The sequence below is a fragment of the Homo sapiens genome, chromosome X, assembly GCF_000001405.40.
Source record: "Homo sapiens chromosome X, GRCh38.p14 Primary Assembly".
Taxonomy (NCBI): domain Eukaryota; kingdom Metazoa; phylum Chordata; class Mammalia; order Primates; family Hominidae; genus Homo; species Homo sapiens.
In genome coordinates this window covers 84,130,960-84,148,660 of record NC_000023.11, presented here as the reverse complement: position 1 = coordinate 84,148,660, position 17,701 = coordinate 84,130,960, and the positions used below count along the sequence as shown (strand labels likewise).

General features: G+C 32.3%; 1 protein-coding gene across 10 annotated transcripts in view; it reads left to right on the top strand.

Moving 5' to 3' along the window:
- Nucleotides 1–17,701, top strand: part of RPS6KA6 (ribosomal protein S6 kinase A6) — a 130,154-nt gene that overhangs the window by 39,839 nt on the left and 72,614 nt on the right. For 9 of the 10 annotated variants that reach the window (XM_047441997.1, XM_011530919.3, XM_017029425.2 and 6 more), the window contains 5 exons: nucleotides 538–619; nucleotides 1,603–1,683; nucleotides 3,104–3,183; nucleotides 13,451–13,557; nucleotides 13,842–13,879. In XM_047441997.1, the coding sequence (XP_047297953.1) occupies nucleotides 538–619; nucleotides 1,603–1,683; nucleotides 3,104–3,183; nucleotides 13,451–13,557; nucleotides 13,842–13,879 (388 nt within the window). The remainder of the gene's footprint in view (nucleotides 1–537; nucleotides 620–1,602; nucleotides 1,684–3,103; nucleotides 3,184–13,450; nucleotides 13,558–13,841; nucleotides 13,880–17,701) is intronic. The other variant, XM_011530920.3, reaches the window with a different exon arrangement.

The window sequence follows — 17,701 nt, the reverse complement described above, 5'->3', positions numbered from 1 at the left end:
AAAAAGTGGGCCTGGGTCTTAAAAGGAGGTATGTAGCTCAAGTTTGTCTTTCATTATGTTATTTATCTCTTACATCACAAAATTCTCAAAGTTCAGTACCAGGTCATCTATTTTAAAAATTTTCCTTTCTATAGTAGTATTTATATGCATTATGATTTATTAAATCATAACAGTTTTTTTGATTAAAAACTAAATTAAATCTAAGAAAAGTGAGAAAATAATAATGTAAATTATAGAATAATTTATAGGAGAAGGTATAACTTTTTTCATTTATTTTTTTAAATTGACAAATAGTTGTACATATTCGTGGGGTACATAGTGAAGTTTCAATACGTATAATGTATGGGGATCAGATCAGGGTAATTTTGCATCCTTCAACAAATCTCTCACTATCTCTCCCTTCCCTCTATGGGAAGGCATATGTTTATAAAATTAGAGAAAATGCAAGGATATAAGTGTATGCTGGTGTGTTTGTGTAGAGCAAGAATGACTAGAAATGTGAATTTTCCTTTTTTTTTTTGTTCAATTTTCTATTAGGTTTTTCTTGTTAGAAAGAAGACCGGTCCTGATGCTGGGCAGCTCTATGCAATGAAGGTGTTAAAAAAAGCCTCTTTAAAAGGTAGAAAATTAGAAAGTTTATTAAAATAGAATTTGACAAAGTGTAGTTTAAGAAATATGCTGTGTATTACTTGCATAAGGTGAATAGATGTAGCTATTTTTAACATTGGTATTTGTGGCAGTTTTTCTAACCTGTAGGTAATATTACTAGATTTGATATTGGCATATGCCTTAACTTAGTGAGAGTGCACCCCCGTAAAAATTTGATGCTAGAAAAAGTGACATATTTCATTTAATTTAAACTTATTAACTTAATTAGGATATATTCTCTTCTTTCAAGATTCTTGGTTTTTCCTTTTCTATCTGTGTCAGTATTACATATTGAGAAAGCACAACCATTTGCACACACTATCTTTTAGGGTGTGATAAAAATACCGCTTATGATCAGTTTTAATCAGTAAACTCATTTGAACAATTAAAAGAGATTAATAGGCCGGGCATGGTGGCTCACACCTATAATCCCAGCAGTTTGAGAGGCTGAGGTGGGCTGAACCCTTGAGCCCAGCCCAGGAGTTCAAGACCAGCCTGAGTAACCTGGTGAAACCCTGTCTCTACAAAAATTACAAAAATGAGCCAGGTGTAGTGGCATGCACCTATAGTTCCAGCTGCTCGGGAAGCTGAGATGGGAGGATTGTTTGAGCCTGGGAGGTGGAGGTTGCAGTGAGCTGAGATTGTGCCGCTGCAGTCCAGCCTGGACAAGAGAGCAATACCCTGTCTCAACAACAACAACAACAAAAGATGAACACATAATAAATGCATATTAGCTACATACCTGTTTATGCCACCTTAACCTGTCTCTAGATGTAATGAATATTTTTGCTTTCTGAGAATATGGTCATTATCTAGGAATATGAAAACTGCAAATTTCGGCATTTAGGAAGTTACGTTTTGTATTTTTATATTTGTTGTTTGGTAAATTATTGATGGACTCTTAACTGAAATGATGTAAGAGAGCAATATATTGTACCTTTATGTAATTTTTAGTTCGAGACAGAGTTCGGACAAAGATGGAGAGGGATATACTGGTGGAAGTAAATCATCCATTTATTGTCAAATTGCACTATGGTATGTAATCTTTTTTTATTCTTTTATTTATTTTAATCCTTATTTATTAATATGGAATTAGAGAATTATGATTTCCTTTCACACAATACTATAACAGGAAATAAATACTTTAGACTTAGTATATTCAGCTACGTAAAATGTATTTGTCTGAAATAAATATCAGTATTTAGTTATTAGTTATATGTCCTTCATTTTTCTAAGTTGATTAACTTGTTTAAAGTAACAAGATAGTGTTTTTCACTTACCTGTCTGGTAGTATTTATGTACTTTGCTAGGCTGTAACTTCATAATCTTAGACTATAAACTATTGTGATAATTTACGTAAAACATTCAGTTGCTTGTTCATAATGACCACACTTATCTGTTTCCTGGTTATATTCCAGAGGACCATGTAGTTATGTTAGTCTACTTGAGTTATTTTTTTATACTTAATGGGAGAGGACTACCAGTAAGAAGCAGTAGATGTAATGGAAAGAACATGAGCTTTGGAGTTAGACATTTCTGAATTTGAATCATGGCTCCATTGCTAATTTAACATATGGTTGAGATCAACTCTATCTATTTATCTATCGTCTATCTACCTCTGATATAGTGTACTTTGTCACTTCCATTTTTCTATATTTAAAAAAGTAGCAGCTGTTGATTTTATTCTTAGTGTAATTTTGACAAATAATACATTAAAATATATACCCAGTTATCACTATTAAAATCCCATAAGAAATTTCCACCCATTATTCTTTTACTCCTTGTTATACTAACAGAATAAAAAAAGTAACATCTAAAGACCTTCCCGTGTCTGTAGTAGGTCCATCAGTAAACACTTATTGTGTGCAAAAATACTGTATTAAATTCAGTGGGCTATAGAAGTGAAACACTTTTTGACCTCAAGAAATTTATAACCTATAGAGAACACAGAGATGTAAAGAAATTAATTGCATAAATCAAAATGGAATAAGTACTATTAAGGAGGTATAAATATAATAAGATCTGAAAAGTAGCAGCAAGTAATTTCAATAAAGAAGAGGTTGAGGAAGCTGTTGAAAAATGTGAAAAGGGGGAAATCCTGGAAAGTTTAATAGAGGAAGTGGCATTTTTCTTCAGCTTTATAGAATTTGTAGATTTTCAGTAGGTTTGATAGGCTAAGTTTAGGCAATTGCAGTATAACATGCTTCATAAATTAGGAAATTTTTGGTGGTAGAAGTTCTGTGTAAAGCCACATTCAAGGGTGATTATGTTCTGGGAAGGGGTTTATAGCTATTTCTACACTGGATTAAACACTGGGTTTAATTTTGAGATGTTATCCATTAATGAACCATGTGAGTAAATACTGTAAAATTCTAAACATATATTAATTTAAAAGCATACTAAGCTTTTTAAGCCTTTGAGATTATCCTGTTACTATATTCTAATTTTTAATTAGCCTTTCAGACTGAAGGGAAACTGTACTTAATACTGGATTTTCTCAGGGGAGGAGATGTTTTCACAAGATTATCCAAAGAGGTAAGTATCTGTACATTTTTACTGTATTTTCTTAAAACAAAACTAAGAAAAATCACTTTTGTTCTTCTGCTAATTACATTTTTCCTATTGAAATTTTAAATGGTAACTACTCTGTTTCATTGCATAGTATTTGGTAATGTGCCTGTTAATGGCATTTTCTATCATCTCAATGTGCTACTCATTATTTTCTTAGGCAAAAGAACAATATGAATAACTGGATAAAGTAGATACGGGCAAGCCTAGGACTTTGGCTACTCAAGCTACCTAAACACCTCTGGGAGTAGTGTTTATTCATTTTAAAATAGCTTTATGGAGGTATAATTGACATACAATAAACTGTACATACTAAAGTATACAATTTCATAAGTTTTTACATTTGTATATAACTGTGAAACCATCATTACAATAAGAATAATTAGCATATCTGTCATTCCCGAAAGTTTTCTTGTGTCCCTTTGTGATGCCGTCCTCCTGCCCTAACCCTACTGAATCTGCTTTCTGTCACTATTTGGTTTGTACTTTCTAGGAGTTTATATAAATGGAATCATATAGTATATTCATTTTTTTTGTCTGGCTTAACATAAGTACTTTGAGATTCATCTATGTTGTATGTACTAATAGTTTATTCATTTTTATTGATGGGTAGTATTACTGATTGTATGGATACATCATGATTTGTTTATCATTCACTTGTTGATGGATTTTTGGGTCATTGCAGTTTTTGATATTACTAATAAAACTGCTATAAACATTCATGTACAAGTGATTGTATCATATGTTTTCGTTTCTCATGGGTAAATACCTAAGAGTATAATGACTGGGTCATGTGCTAGGTATATGTTTAACTTTTAAAGACACTGCCAAACTGTTTTCCAAAGTGATTATATAAATTTTACATTCCCACCAGCAGCGTAAGAGAGTTTCAGTTGCTCCACATCCTTGCCAACATTTGGTATGGTCAGTCTTTTAAAATTTTTGAACATTAGATTAGTTTTTAGTGGTATCCCATTGTGGTTTTGAATTACATCACACTAATGACTAATGACATTGAGCATCTTTTCATGAGCTCATTTGCCATCTATCCTCTTGGTAAAATGTCTGTTTAAATTTTTAGCCTGTTTTTTTTTATTGGATTGTTTGTTTTCTTATTGAGTTTTGAGAGTTCTTCATATATTTTGGATGTAAGTCCTTGATCATATATGTTATTTGGAAATATTTTCTTCTGGTCTATAGTTTGTCTTTTCATTCTCTTAACAGTGTATTGAAAAGCAGAAGTTCTTAATTTTGGTGAAGTCTGATTTATAGGATTTTTTCCCTTTATTAATTGTGTTTTTAGTGTCCTTTGTAAGGCATATCTGCCTAATCACAGCTAAAGATTTTCTCTTATGTTTTCTAGAGGTTTTGTAGTTTGCATTTTACATCTAGATTTAGGATCCGTTTTGAGTTCATTTTAGTATATGGTTACAGGTATGTGCAGAAGTCCTTTTCATTTGTTCACATAGATAGCCAGTTGTTATAGCATCATTATTGGAAAAGTCTGTCTTTTCTTCACTGAATTACCTTACATTTTTCTTGAAAACCAGTTGATCATATATATGAAGGCCTATTTCTGGATACTCTGTTCTGTTCATTGATCCATTTGTCTATCTTTATGACAATACCACACTGTCTGAATTACTGTACCTTTATAATATGTCTTGAAGTGAGGCAGTGCGAGTCCTTGAGCTTTGCTTTTCTTTTTGAAAGTTTGGCTCTTCTAGGTCCTTTGCATTTCCATATCAATTTTAAAATCGGCTTTTCACTTTGTACAAAAATGTCCTGCTGGGATATTGGTTGGAATTTTATTGAATGTATAGGTCAATTTGCAGATAAGTTACATTTTAGTAATATTGAGTCTTTTAATTGATGAACGTGGTATCTTTCTCAATTTATTTAGGTCATCTTTAATTTCTCGCAGTATTGTTTTCAGTGTAATTCTTGCAATTCTTTTGTCAGATTTACCTCTAAGTAAATCCTGTTTTTAATGTTATTGTAAATAGAATTGACTTCCTAATTTCAATTTTAAATTGGATGGAAACACAACCGATTTTTTGTGTATTGAGCTTGTTTCCCACAGTCTAGCCAAACTTAATACTTCTAGCAGCTTTTAGAAATAGATTTCAAAGGTTGAGAAAGTTTTCTGTAACTATTTTTGAGAGTTTTATAAAAAATCAGGAATCAATTTCAGATTTATTCAAATGCTTTTTCTTCATTTATTGAGATTATAATTTTTTTTAGTCTTACTGTGGTGAATTACATCGATTGATAGTCAGATGTTGAACCAACCTTGCATTTATGGATGAACCCCACTTAGTCTTGATGTATTACCCTTTTTATAAATTGTTGGACGATATTTGCTGAATATTTAAGAATTTTTGCATCTATTTTTATGAGGGATATTTATGATTTTCTTGTATTATTATGTCTATTTTTGGTATTAGAGTAATTCTGACTCCATAGAATGAGTTGGGTGTAGTTTTTGCCTCTTTAACTTTCTGGGAAAGTTTATGTAGATTCAATGATAAATTGCCCTTAAATGATTGATAGAATTCACCAGTGAAGGCATCTGAACCTGAAGTTTTTCTTATAGGAAAGTATTTAACTCCAAAATCAATTTATGTAATAGACTTGGGTTATTTATTTTTGAGTGAGCTTTGCTAACTTGTGTCTTTTAAGGAATTTGTCTATTTCATCAAAGTTATGAAATTTATTGGCATAAAAATGTTCATAATATTCCCTTATTGTCCTTTTTGTAGTTGTGGAATTGTTAGTGATGTCACTGCTCTCACTTTTGATGTTGGTAATTCATGTTTGCTCTGTTTTTGTTCTGCTTAGCTTCACTAGAGATTTATCAATTTTATTACTCTCAAAGAAACAGCTTTTGGTTTCATTGATTTTTCTGTATTCTATTTCTGTTCTATTACATTGTTTTCTGCTTTAATCTTTTTTACTGCTTATTTTATGTATTAGCTTTTCTTTTTCTGGTTTTTAAGATGGGAGCTGAAGTTATTGATTTGAGGCCTTTCTTTTCTAATAATGTAGGTGTTTAGTGTTATAAATTCCCCTCTGAATACTGCTTTAGGGTCATCTCACAAGTTTTGATATGCATCATTTTTATTTTCTCTCAGTTCAGTGTACTTTATGATTTCCTTTCTATTTCTTTGACCCATTGATATTTAGAAGTCTGCTTAATTTACAAATATTTGGGCATTCTTTCACATATCTTTCTATTGTTGATTTCTACTGTAATGTTCTTGTGGTCATAAAGCATACTTTGTATGACTTTAATTCTTTTAAACTTATATTTGCTTTATGCTTCAGAATGTCGTGTATCTTGGTAAATGTTCCATGTCCACTTGAGAAGAATGTGTATTCTGCTATTTTTGGGTGGTGGAAGGTTCTATAAATGTGGACTGGATCAAGTTGTTTGATAGTGATATTAAATTGCCTATATTCTTTCTAATTTTCTGCCTATTCTACAAATTTTTGAGACAAGGATTGACACCTTTTTACTTTAATTATGAATTTGTATATTTCTTCTTGAATTTCTGTTAGTTTTTGTTTCATATATTTCAAAGTTCTGTTATTAGGTACATAAACCTTTAGGTTTATTATTCCCTCTTGATGAATAGACCCCTTCATCGTTATGATATGACATGACTGACTTTATCCCTGGTAATGTTCTTTTCTTCAAAATCTTATTTGATACTAACATGGTCACACCAACTATTTTCTAAAAAAGTAGTGTTAGTTTGGTATATCTTTTTCCATATTTTAACTTCAGCCTATGTGTGTCTTTATATTTTAATGTGTGGTACTTAAGGAAGCATAGTTTCCTTGTTTTTTAATCCAATCTGAGAGTCCACGTCTTTTAATTGGGATATTAGACCTGTTACATTTAATATGATTATTTTTGTAGTTCTATTTAAATCTACTATCTTGCTATTTGGGATTTTTTTTGGTCCCATTTGTTCTTTGTTCTTGTTTCCCTCTTCTCCTGGCTTCTTTTTAATTACTTTTTTTTTTTTTACAATTTCATTTTTATCTCTGCTGTTGTCTTGTAGATATTATCCATAACACTTTGTTGTGTAATTTAATAGTTACCTTAGGATTTGTAGTATAAGTTTTAACTCAGAGGTCAGGAAAATATGGTCTTCAGGCTAAATTTGGCCAGTTATTTTTCTTTGTAAATAAAGTTTTATTGGAACACAGACATACTCATTTGTTTAAGTATTGTCTGTGCCTTATTTTGTACTTCAATGGAATCATACTTGCATAGTCATTTTTACTGGATAGCAGGCATGGTGGATTTAATTTTCTTACATGCTAGATACCTTTATTTTCATATAAATAGTATTTAGCTTTTTTCTAGGATGCAGTTCATTTTCTTGTAAACACTTTGATCATTTTGGGCCTTGTGTTTAAGCTTTGTCATGTGGGACTAGGGAAGTATTTAGTTTAAGATTAATTTTTCCTCAGTATGAAGCATGTCCTTTCTTATACTCTAACAAAGACTCTTTGAATTATGAGGCTTTTCATTCTAACTTTTGGGAAGAGGAGCTATCTCAGTCCTTTGTGAGCTGAGTGGGTTCTTTCTTTTAATCTTTTAAGGTTTTTCTTTTCCTGGGCTTGGGCTTGGGTAGTTTCCTCAGATCCATGTTTGACTATATATATATATATGTATGTTTTTTTTTTTTTTTTTTTTGAGATGGAGTCTCAGTCTATTGCCCCGGCTGGAGTGCAGTAGCGTGATCTCAGCTCACTGCAACCTCTGCCTCCCGGGTTCAAGTGATTCTCCTGCCTCAGCCTCCTGCATAGCTGGGACTACAGGTGCACAGTTAGCCCGGCTAATTCTTGTATTTTTAGTAGAGATGGGGTTTCACCATGTTGGCTAGGCTGGTCTCAAGCTCCTGACCTCAAGTGATCTGCCTGCCTTGGCCTCCCAAAATGCTGGGATTACAGGCATGAGCCCCAGTGCCTGGCCCATGATTGACAATTTTTTATTAGATGGCAGACATTGTGACATTTAGCTTGTTAAGGTGATGAACATTTTTGTATTTCTGTAACTATTATTGATCTCTGTTCTGAGATATAAAACTAGTTTGATTATTATAGGTCTTTTAAAGTTCGTTAGATTGGACTAACACAGCTTTCAGTCGGGTTAATTTTGCTCCACTACTGAAGCAAAATCCTTCTGATTACTTTATCTGATGTCCTATGAATTATGAGATTTTCTGCTCTGGCTGAAGGCAACAGGAACTATTCCTGGCCCATCGTGAGTTCATCGACTGGTTCCTCTAACCCTTCGTTGTTTTCCTGGTTTAGGGTAATGTCCTCACTCATATGTGCTGAGTATTTCTCCACTGAATACTTGAAGGAGACTGTCTGCATATCTACAGAGTTCTCTTTGTGCAATTTTCTCTTCTCTAATACTCCATCCTGTGAATTTTGTCCTCCTTCTCTAAGACTCTCTGTTCTGGCTTATCTACTCAGGAAGTCTTTCAGGCTCCACCTGACTTAGCCCTCCCTGTACTACCACTTGGAAACTCTTTCCAGGTAGTAAGCTAAGGCAGTTGTGGGGCATACGTCATTTGTCCCCTGTCTCTCAGTATTCAGTGTCCTTTGTTGCCTGATGTCCAATGTCTTAAAAGTATCATTTCATACGTTTTGTCCTGTGTTTTAGATTTTTCAGGCATGAGATTAAATCCTGTCTTTGTCTGCTTCATTTTTCTTTAAGTAGTAGTCTGGGAGTAGCATTTTAATTGGGTGATAGTAGTTCAATGTCTTACTTCCAGAATTTACAGTGTAGAATGTGGGAGAGCTACTGTTGATTCCCAGAGCTCTGGAACTTGCTGTGATAAAGGAACAGTGTGTTTCTGGTATGCTAGCCAGTGCTTAAGTGGCTAAGGTCTCTGGCTTATATCTGTCTACCTCCAGTGTAGAATGTGCCATGCGTGAGCATAGGGTGTGTTATTGGTATATTATTAACTATAGAACATAATTCAATATCTGAAAAGGATTGTCTAGGACCCCCTTCTAAGGAGGGTCTTTAAAGGACCTTGTTAAAAACTGGTACCAAGGCATAGAAGGACAACAGTATAATAAGGCTCCATTATTCATGATTTCTTGCGTTAGATTTTAGAAGTGTCACAAATATGTTTGAGAAATTCTTGTAGTCATTTCTAATTTTCTTTTAAACTCTTCAGACCTCCATTCTCGATGTGGGACTATCTAAACCCATACTAGCACAGAGATGCAGTCAGTAAGTTTTGATTCCTAAGTCTGGAATATTAGGTAAGAGCAAGCATTTTAAATGCGTTACCCAAAAGATGATAAATTAGTACATTGATTGAGCAGCCTTTTAAAAAATGATTCAATGGTTACTTCTGTAGACAGCTTATTAATAATTAGATGTTTGTTGGTTATACTTCACTTGTGTGTACAAAAAATTGTTAATCCAAAATGAGGACATGTTTTTATACCTTAGAAAAAGACTTTTTAAATACATTTTTGTATGTTTTAAAGAATTTTATAATGTATGTCATTTGTATTTTAAAGGGAAAGATACCTACCCAAATTTCCCTTCCTCAGAATGTACACACACACACACACACACACACACACACACACACACACAAATACACAGGTAAACAAACAGAACTCTTAAGCTGTGCTCTATTTTCCTTATTCAAGAAAATGTGGTAGAATGAATGGCTGATTATTGTAAAGCTGTCAGTTCTTCTAAAATTAATTTATTGGCTTAACAAAATTCCAAATAAAGCCACAATAGGGATTTTTGTTTGTTTGATGTTGACAGAATTATTTTATAGTTTCCTTGGAAAAGTAAACAAATGCAAAGAAATAATATTTTTGTTTGTTTGTTTTTTGAGACAGGGTCTTGCTCTGTCCCCAGGCTGGAGTGCAGTGGCACTATCCTGGCTCATTGCAGCCTCAACCTCCCATGCTCAGGCAATCCTCATGCCTCCGCCTCCCGAATAGCTTGGACTACAGAAGCGTGCGCCACTATACCAGGCTATTTTTTTTTTTCAGTAGAGATGGGATCTTGCTATGTTGCCTAGGCTGGTCTCAAACTCCTGGGCTCCAGTGATCCTCACGCGTTGGCCTCCCCAAATTCTCTTGTTTAAAACTTGGTAATGTGCATAAGCAAAACATTATAGTATCAACACAAGATTGGAAACATACTGTATAGCCCAAAAATATCCTGTTATAGATTACTTACCCTATATCATTATGATAAAGGAAGAATCACAAATTGTGGCAAAGAGGTTGTTCAATAAACAGTATTTGAGAAATTGCTTAAATATTTCCAAAAATCATTTTAAAATGCCATCTCTACCATATACAAAAATAAATCTTACTTACATAAAAAAGCTAAATCTTGAAAAACAATTACCCTATAATAAAATGCAGCTAAATATTTTGTTGACCATTGGATGGAGAATGTCTCCTTAAACATTAAAATAATGAAGGAAAAATCATACAGAAATCATCATACATTTGACTAGCAAAAATTAAGGATTACTGAACATCAAAAACTAGCACAAAATTGGATAAATATTTGCAGCTAATATGATAGAAAACTGACATTTTTAACATTTAAGTGACTTGTACCAATTGACAAAACAGTAAGTCAGTAATAGAAAATAGGCACAAACATTACTGATAATTCACAAAAAAGTAGAAAGACTACTAAACATGAATAACAATGTTCAGCCTAAAAATCAAAACTTAAATTTAAAAAATAATGCCATTTTCACACATCAAATTTGAAAAGGCTTTTTACAGGGTATATTCCATGCTATCAAGGATGTGGTAAGACAGATGCTTTCGTAAACTGCTGATGGGAGTGGAAATTACTATAACCTTTTTGGAAAATAATTTTATCGTGTATGTCAGGAATCTTGGACTATTTATGCTCCTTGACCCAGCATTCCATTTTTAAAAAAAAATTCTTAATTCATTTTGAGAAAATGATCATAAATATCAGTAAGATGTACATATGCATATTGCAGAGTTATTTCAAATAGAGAAAAAATGGAAATAACCTAAATGTCAAGAAGGGGAATGTTTAGGTAAATTACAGTAAATTGGTATGGTTATATTGTGCAGCTATTGAAAACTATTTATAAATAAGTTTTAAAGACATAGAATGCTTATGATATAGTATTAACTGGGGATAAATGAGGTCACTAAATAGTACTTATACAGTAGTGTGATTTCAACTGTATTAAAATACACATGGACACATTCACACACAGATATGCACAAAAAATTTGAAAAGCAGATGACAAAATATTAAAAGTGCTTTACTCAAGAGTACTGGAGTTTAGGATAATTTTCATTTTGTAGGGGGGGCAATTTATGAGTAGGACGATTAGTGGGTTGGAAAGCATTATTGGTAGTAAACCTAAAATTTGTTTTTAGAAAAGCAAACATTGCATCACAGCATGTGGCAGAAGTGGCTTCTGGGAAAGAGTTCATTCTTATGGACAAGTATCCCTGAGTTCATGTCTTGGGCCTCCTTCTTAACTAGCTGTGTTATTTTGGACAAGTTACTTAATCACTCTGAGTTTCTTTCTCCATTTGCAAGGTGTTCCTAATACCTACCTCATAGAGTTTGGAAGCTATAATAACATAATGATTGTACAGTGCCTGGCACATAATTGCTACTTAGTAATGTTTTATTTGCATCTATCATGAGGCTTTCTACCAAGACAACCTCATGACAAGGTGATAGGCTTGCATAACTGTAACTAGGCAAAGTTTTTTTCTAATTTAGTTTTAAATAATTTTTATTTAGGGTTTTCTTACGTATTAGCTTTCAGAGAACATTCTTATTATCCTTGGTTAGAAGTTGAATAGGCAACAGTTATTTTTATTCTTAATAAAAAGTCAAGTGAAAGTGATGTTTTTATATTTTTACCATTATAATATTCAAATTAATGCTCCCAAAACTTAGATAATAAACAATCTTTGTTTTTCTATTCATCATTTTAAAAAGTAGTTAGCATATCAGAAGTTATTAACTACTAATTCTCTGCAATTTTACTAGTAACCTGGATCTGCATTGTGAAATGCAGTGGCCGTAATTCTAAATGGGCAAGCAGGTTGTAAGCTATTATGACATGTACTTTATGCAATTTTGAGCCTTCTTAATAATCCAGAGGTTTCTTTATGAAAATAACCCATTTTTAGAAAAATATTTGATTTTGCCAATCCGGAGTTCTTGCTAAACCTTAAAAATTACATCTAATGGCTGATTAGTGTCCAGTTCTATGTGTAAATGAATACTCACTAGTGAATGAATTTAGATGTAAACCTATAATAATAGTACCATATGGTTATATATATAGTTTTTTAAAGTTTACAAAGCTTTTTTTCCACATAAACTGATTTGATTCTTACGACAACCTTGTTAGGTATATACAGCAGATATTATTGTCCTGTTTCACAGATTTAGAAACTGAGGCCCAAAGGGCTAAGTGACATGTCTGATATTACACTGCCAATTCTGATTTCAAGTTCATTACTCTTCACTTCATCATAGCAGCCGTATTTCCAGACACAAAATGATTAATACAGTGCCATTACACTCGTATACATTACTAACAGAAGAGGCTTGGATCCACCCCTTAGGTCAGAGATGAGTTCACAATTGTGTGTAAGATAAGGGTACTAATTTAACAACTTGTGGCAGTGTAGTAAAAGCTTTGGGTTTGTAGAGCCCCTAAAAGTGAAATTTCTGAGAAATGATACTAGACAGTAAAAGAGAGAATGGTATAAATAGTGGAATTCTCAGAGCTAAAACAAAATAACTTCTATATTTCAAATACCCTAAGGGTTACTATATTATAGCAGATTACTATAATTAATATTGGTATTATGAGGCAAAGTCACTTTATAAAAGGTGAATCTTGTTCTTTGCATTTCGTGTGAGAAGATATACAAACAACATAATATTTCAGAAAGATTTACATTAAAATGGTTAATATCGAAGAGACACATTCTTAAAGAGTTTAGTTTCATTTATATAGAAATCTTATTTCTCTGGTATTGCCAATAATTATGCCAGTCAAATAAGAATTGACTGTGCTTATTATCTTATTATTTTCCTAGATTTGTCTGTCTACTCATTTTGAAAGAAGTATTTTTAAATATACTGAATATTGAAAGAAAGATCAAATGATAAATCATTATTTTGTTCTAGGTTCTGTTTACAGAGGAAGATGTGAAATTCTACCTCGCAGAACTGGCCCTTGCTTTGGATCATCTGCACCAATTAGGAATTGTTTATAGAGACCTGAAGCCAGAAAAGTAAAGCTGTATTCTTTTGTTTTCATGTTGTCTGTATTTCTGGAACTGCTTTTTGTCAAACTCTGTTAGATCTTTTAAATATTATAGGGAATTCTATATGAATTATATGAAACTTATTTGTAAAAAGTAATCTTTGTGAGACGTACATTGACTTTAAGTTAATCATTTAAATTTTTTACATATATTAAATAGATACTGACCTATCTTAGTTTTATGATTTTTATGTAAATGTTTTATGTAAAATATTTTATTCCATCTTGTTGAATGTGAATTTTGATTTACAGCATTTTGCTTGATGAAATAGGACATATCAAATTAACAGGTATGCAGATTTTCTTATTATACCCTTAGCCACTTGATTCATATTTTTTATTATTTTAATATAAATTTGTCTAAGCCTGTTTTTTTCTCTTTCTGAATTTGATTTGCAATTTATTTGTCTCTTTAGTGAATTAAATGTTACTTGATGGTTAGACTGCTCTCAATATGTTCTAATTGTAATATTAAAAAATTGTACATTAGATACACTTATCCTGAATAAGAAATGATCGTTTTCTAGGTAACAATACATCATCTTAGTTTGAGTCTAGACAGAAAGATGTATCACAAGTAGTCATCACATTTGAAATATAGTGACAACCTTCCCTCCACCTTCCCTAACTCCTGGCAACCACTTATATGTCCTACATCTCTATAATTTTGTTATTTTGAGAGTGATATAGAAATAGAATCATACAGTAGTCACACTACTGAGCATTTATCCTAGAAAAATAAAAACCTATGTTCACATAAAAGCCTGTATATGAATGTTCATAACAACTCTATTTGTAATAGCCCAAGACTGGAAATTACCTAAATGTCCTTCAGAAGGGGAATGGATAAATGTAAATTGTCATACTTCCATATGATGACATACTACTCAGCAGTAAAAAGGAAAGACCTGTTGAGACATCCAGCAACTTGGATGAATCTCAAGGGCATTGTGCTGAGCGAGCCAGTCTAAAAACGTTACATGTGTTTTCAATAGATAGTAAATTCTGTATTTTATTATTTGAATGCTTGAACAGAGATAAGATGAAGATGTAGTCTTTACAGATAATTTTAAATAGGTACAGTTTAAAGGTAAGTTGCTTTAAATTCCTGTGTATACTGCATCAATGCAAAAATAAAATATCAAACAGTTACCTCAAAAGCTGACATAAATATGAAAAAGTTCAAATAAAGTTTAGTGACTCTTATTGATTCACAGCCTGATTATCTTTTTCATGTACAAAAGAAATGATGTGGGTTCGAAGATATTTAAAGAGAAAAAGGAAAGGAAAATAACAGTAGGGAACAGTAGAGTTTTGAGATTTTTATATAATACATAAATTTTATTTTATAGCAATTAAAAAGATAATTAAAAATTAATTCCTCTTTTCATTTTTGCTTAATAAAGTATACCTCTTTTGTCAGAGGTGAGAAAGAGAGGTGGGAAAAAGAGTAGAAAAAAACCTATTTTTCTCTCTCTACATTAAGGTTAATTACGTAAATAATGATGCCAAGTTTATTTGTATTTAGTGTTCTCATTTTAATTCTGCTTTTGATAGATTTTAGAGACTTAAACTGTCTGAGGAGGGAAGAATAGATAGGATCAATATTAATTTATAAGCAAGGGACACAAAGCATGTAACAGGAAGAAATGTGATTTATAATTTTTTTTAACAATTCAATTTATTTTCCTTGCAATGGCACAAACATTTCTTTTAAAGAATGTGTACAATAATAAATATTAGATAATTTACAGTTTTATGATTATAACCTTAATTCAAGGTTTTATAATGACTACATTTATGGATTTACCCCGACAGCATTCCAATGAGGTTGGTTAAAGTATGACCACTCACAGCAAGTATTTTAACCCATTTATGCCTGAGGCTGCAATGTTTTGAATTTTTGCAGTCAGACTTTGATGATGACCTTGAGCAGTAGAATATAAATAACTCCCACATGCTTAGCGTTCCAATAATGGAACACTAGGCATAAATGGGTTTAAGAGTTCTTTTATAATGTTTCTTTTGATTTATTTTATATTCTTTATCTTTCTCTTTAATTTTTCTTGTTTGCTTTCTTTCTCCTAGGGAGGGTGTTTGCTAGCATTCTGTTTTCCAAAAATAATTGCAGGAGAATGGCAATACTTTTTTTTTTTTCACTAGTCCACTTTAAAAATTCTCCAGACATAAGGAATGGACCTAGTATCTGGAATGACAGGCTACTCTGAAATTACAATGGACTATAGAAAGTTTCCTGTTGTAACTGTGCTTTGAGTCTGATTGGCCTCGTTCTGAGATTATGATTGTTATAACAGATCAGTAGAATGAGAGTGGATGAGAGTGGATATTCCCAAAGATCTACATCCTTGCTAATATATTATTTATATTATATATTATTATATTATAAAACTTAAGTTTTTTTCCTGAAATCCTGCATCCTTTTCATAGTCTGTATAAAATCCCTTGTATAGTTTATATAAAAATAACTTTATAATATGACTTGCCTCTTTAGAAAAATTATTTCATCATAATATCCCATTAAAAAGTACAGCTCGAATACAGAATTTATTTGAACTGTGGTTGCTATAATCTGTTGCATTTTTTAAATTTTATTTTTTTTAAGAGACAGAGTCTTACTCTGTCACCCAGGCTGGAGGGCAGTGGCAGGATCACATCTTATCACAGCCTTTTTTTAAATTATTATTATTATCACAGCCTTTAACTCCTGGGCTCAAGCCATCCTCCCACCCCAGCCTTCTGGGTAGCTGGGACTTCAGGAACATGCCACCACACCCAGCTATTTTTTGTGTGTGTGGCGACGGAGTCTTGCTATATTGCCCAGGCTGGTCTTGAACTCCTGGCCTCAAGCAATCATCCTGCCACGGCTTCCCAAAGTGTTGGGGTAACAGGTGTGAGCCACTGTGCCCAGCCTATAATGTGTTTTCTGAGAGACATAATTCAGAAGCAACTTCTACAAAGAGAGGGAAGAAAAATATACAGTGGTCAGAGATGTAAATCACACAGTACTTGAGCTGAGTATTTAAGAGAAAAATGTATACTTGAGAAAATAATTCTATGTAGTTTTTATAGTTACTTGCAAACTAATCACTGAGATTGCTTTTATTTATAGTAACTATTCATCAAATTATTATATTCTGAGTGTGCTTTTAAAGTTTAAAGTCTTAGAAAAGAGTCATTTAGATTACAAAGATGTGAAACACTGACCCTCAAACCTACCCCCCAAAATAACCCTTCCATTATGTAGTTGAATTGTACATTTTCTTTTATTTTCAAATTAGTGATTTGGAAAAACCACTGTATAACATATGGCTTGTCTAATCTTGTAGCTAGTTTTATAGTTGTACAATTTTCGTCAGTTGATTGCTGAGCAAATTATAGTTGTTAAATAACAGTTTAGTCAGAAATAGTACGGCAAAGGAACTCTGTGGATTGGCATAAATCTCTGAAAGGTAACAGAAGAATGAGAAAATTCTTCTCTCCCCCCTTCTCTCTGGAATGGCCAAAGAAACTAGTGTTCTTCTCCACAAGCTGTGTTATATTCAGCTGAACTGACCTCGAAGACTAGATGTTAATTATATTTACTTTTGTAAATGGAATGTGCAGAGTTTACAAGTTTCAGTATACAGAGAGAACATAGTGGCACAGTGAAAAGATTTTTAAAAATTATACCAAAAGTTAAAATACATTAAGCTATTATCTAAGAATAAGTGATTTTTTTAAATGAAAATGTTGAGCATAGTTAGAAAATCAGTTTTGAGGGGACCTCAAATTAAGTGTTAATGTTGATATTTTATTGTAAACAAGCAATATAGGGCTTATAAACTTTTTTATTTTTAAAATGAAAGTATACTTTACATATATTAAAACTCATCCTTCTGATGTCTTTTGGTGTTGGGACTATCCCGTGTCTTGACTGCATCAATGTCAGTGTCCTGGCTGTGGTTATAGTACTATAGTTTTGCAAGATTTTACCATGGGAAACACTGGATAAACAGGATCCCTGTAGTTTTTCATGTAACAGCATGCGAATCTGCAATCATCTCAAAATATAAAGTTTAATTTTTAAAAATCACTTTTGTTGTATGTATAGT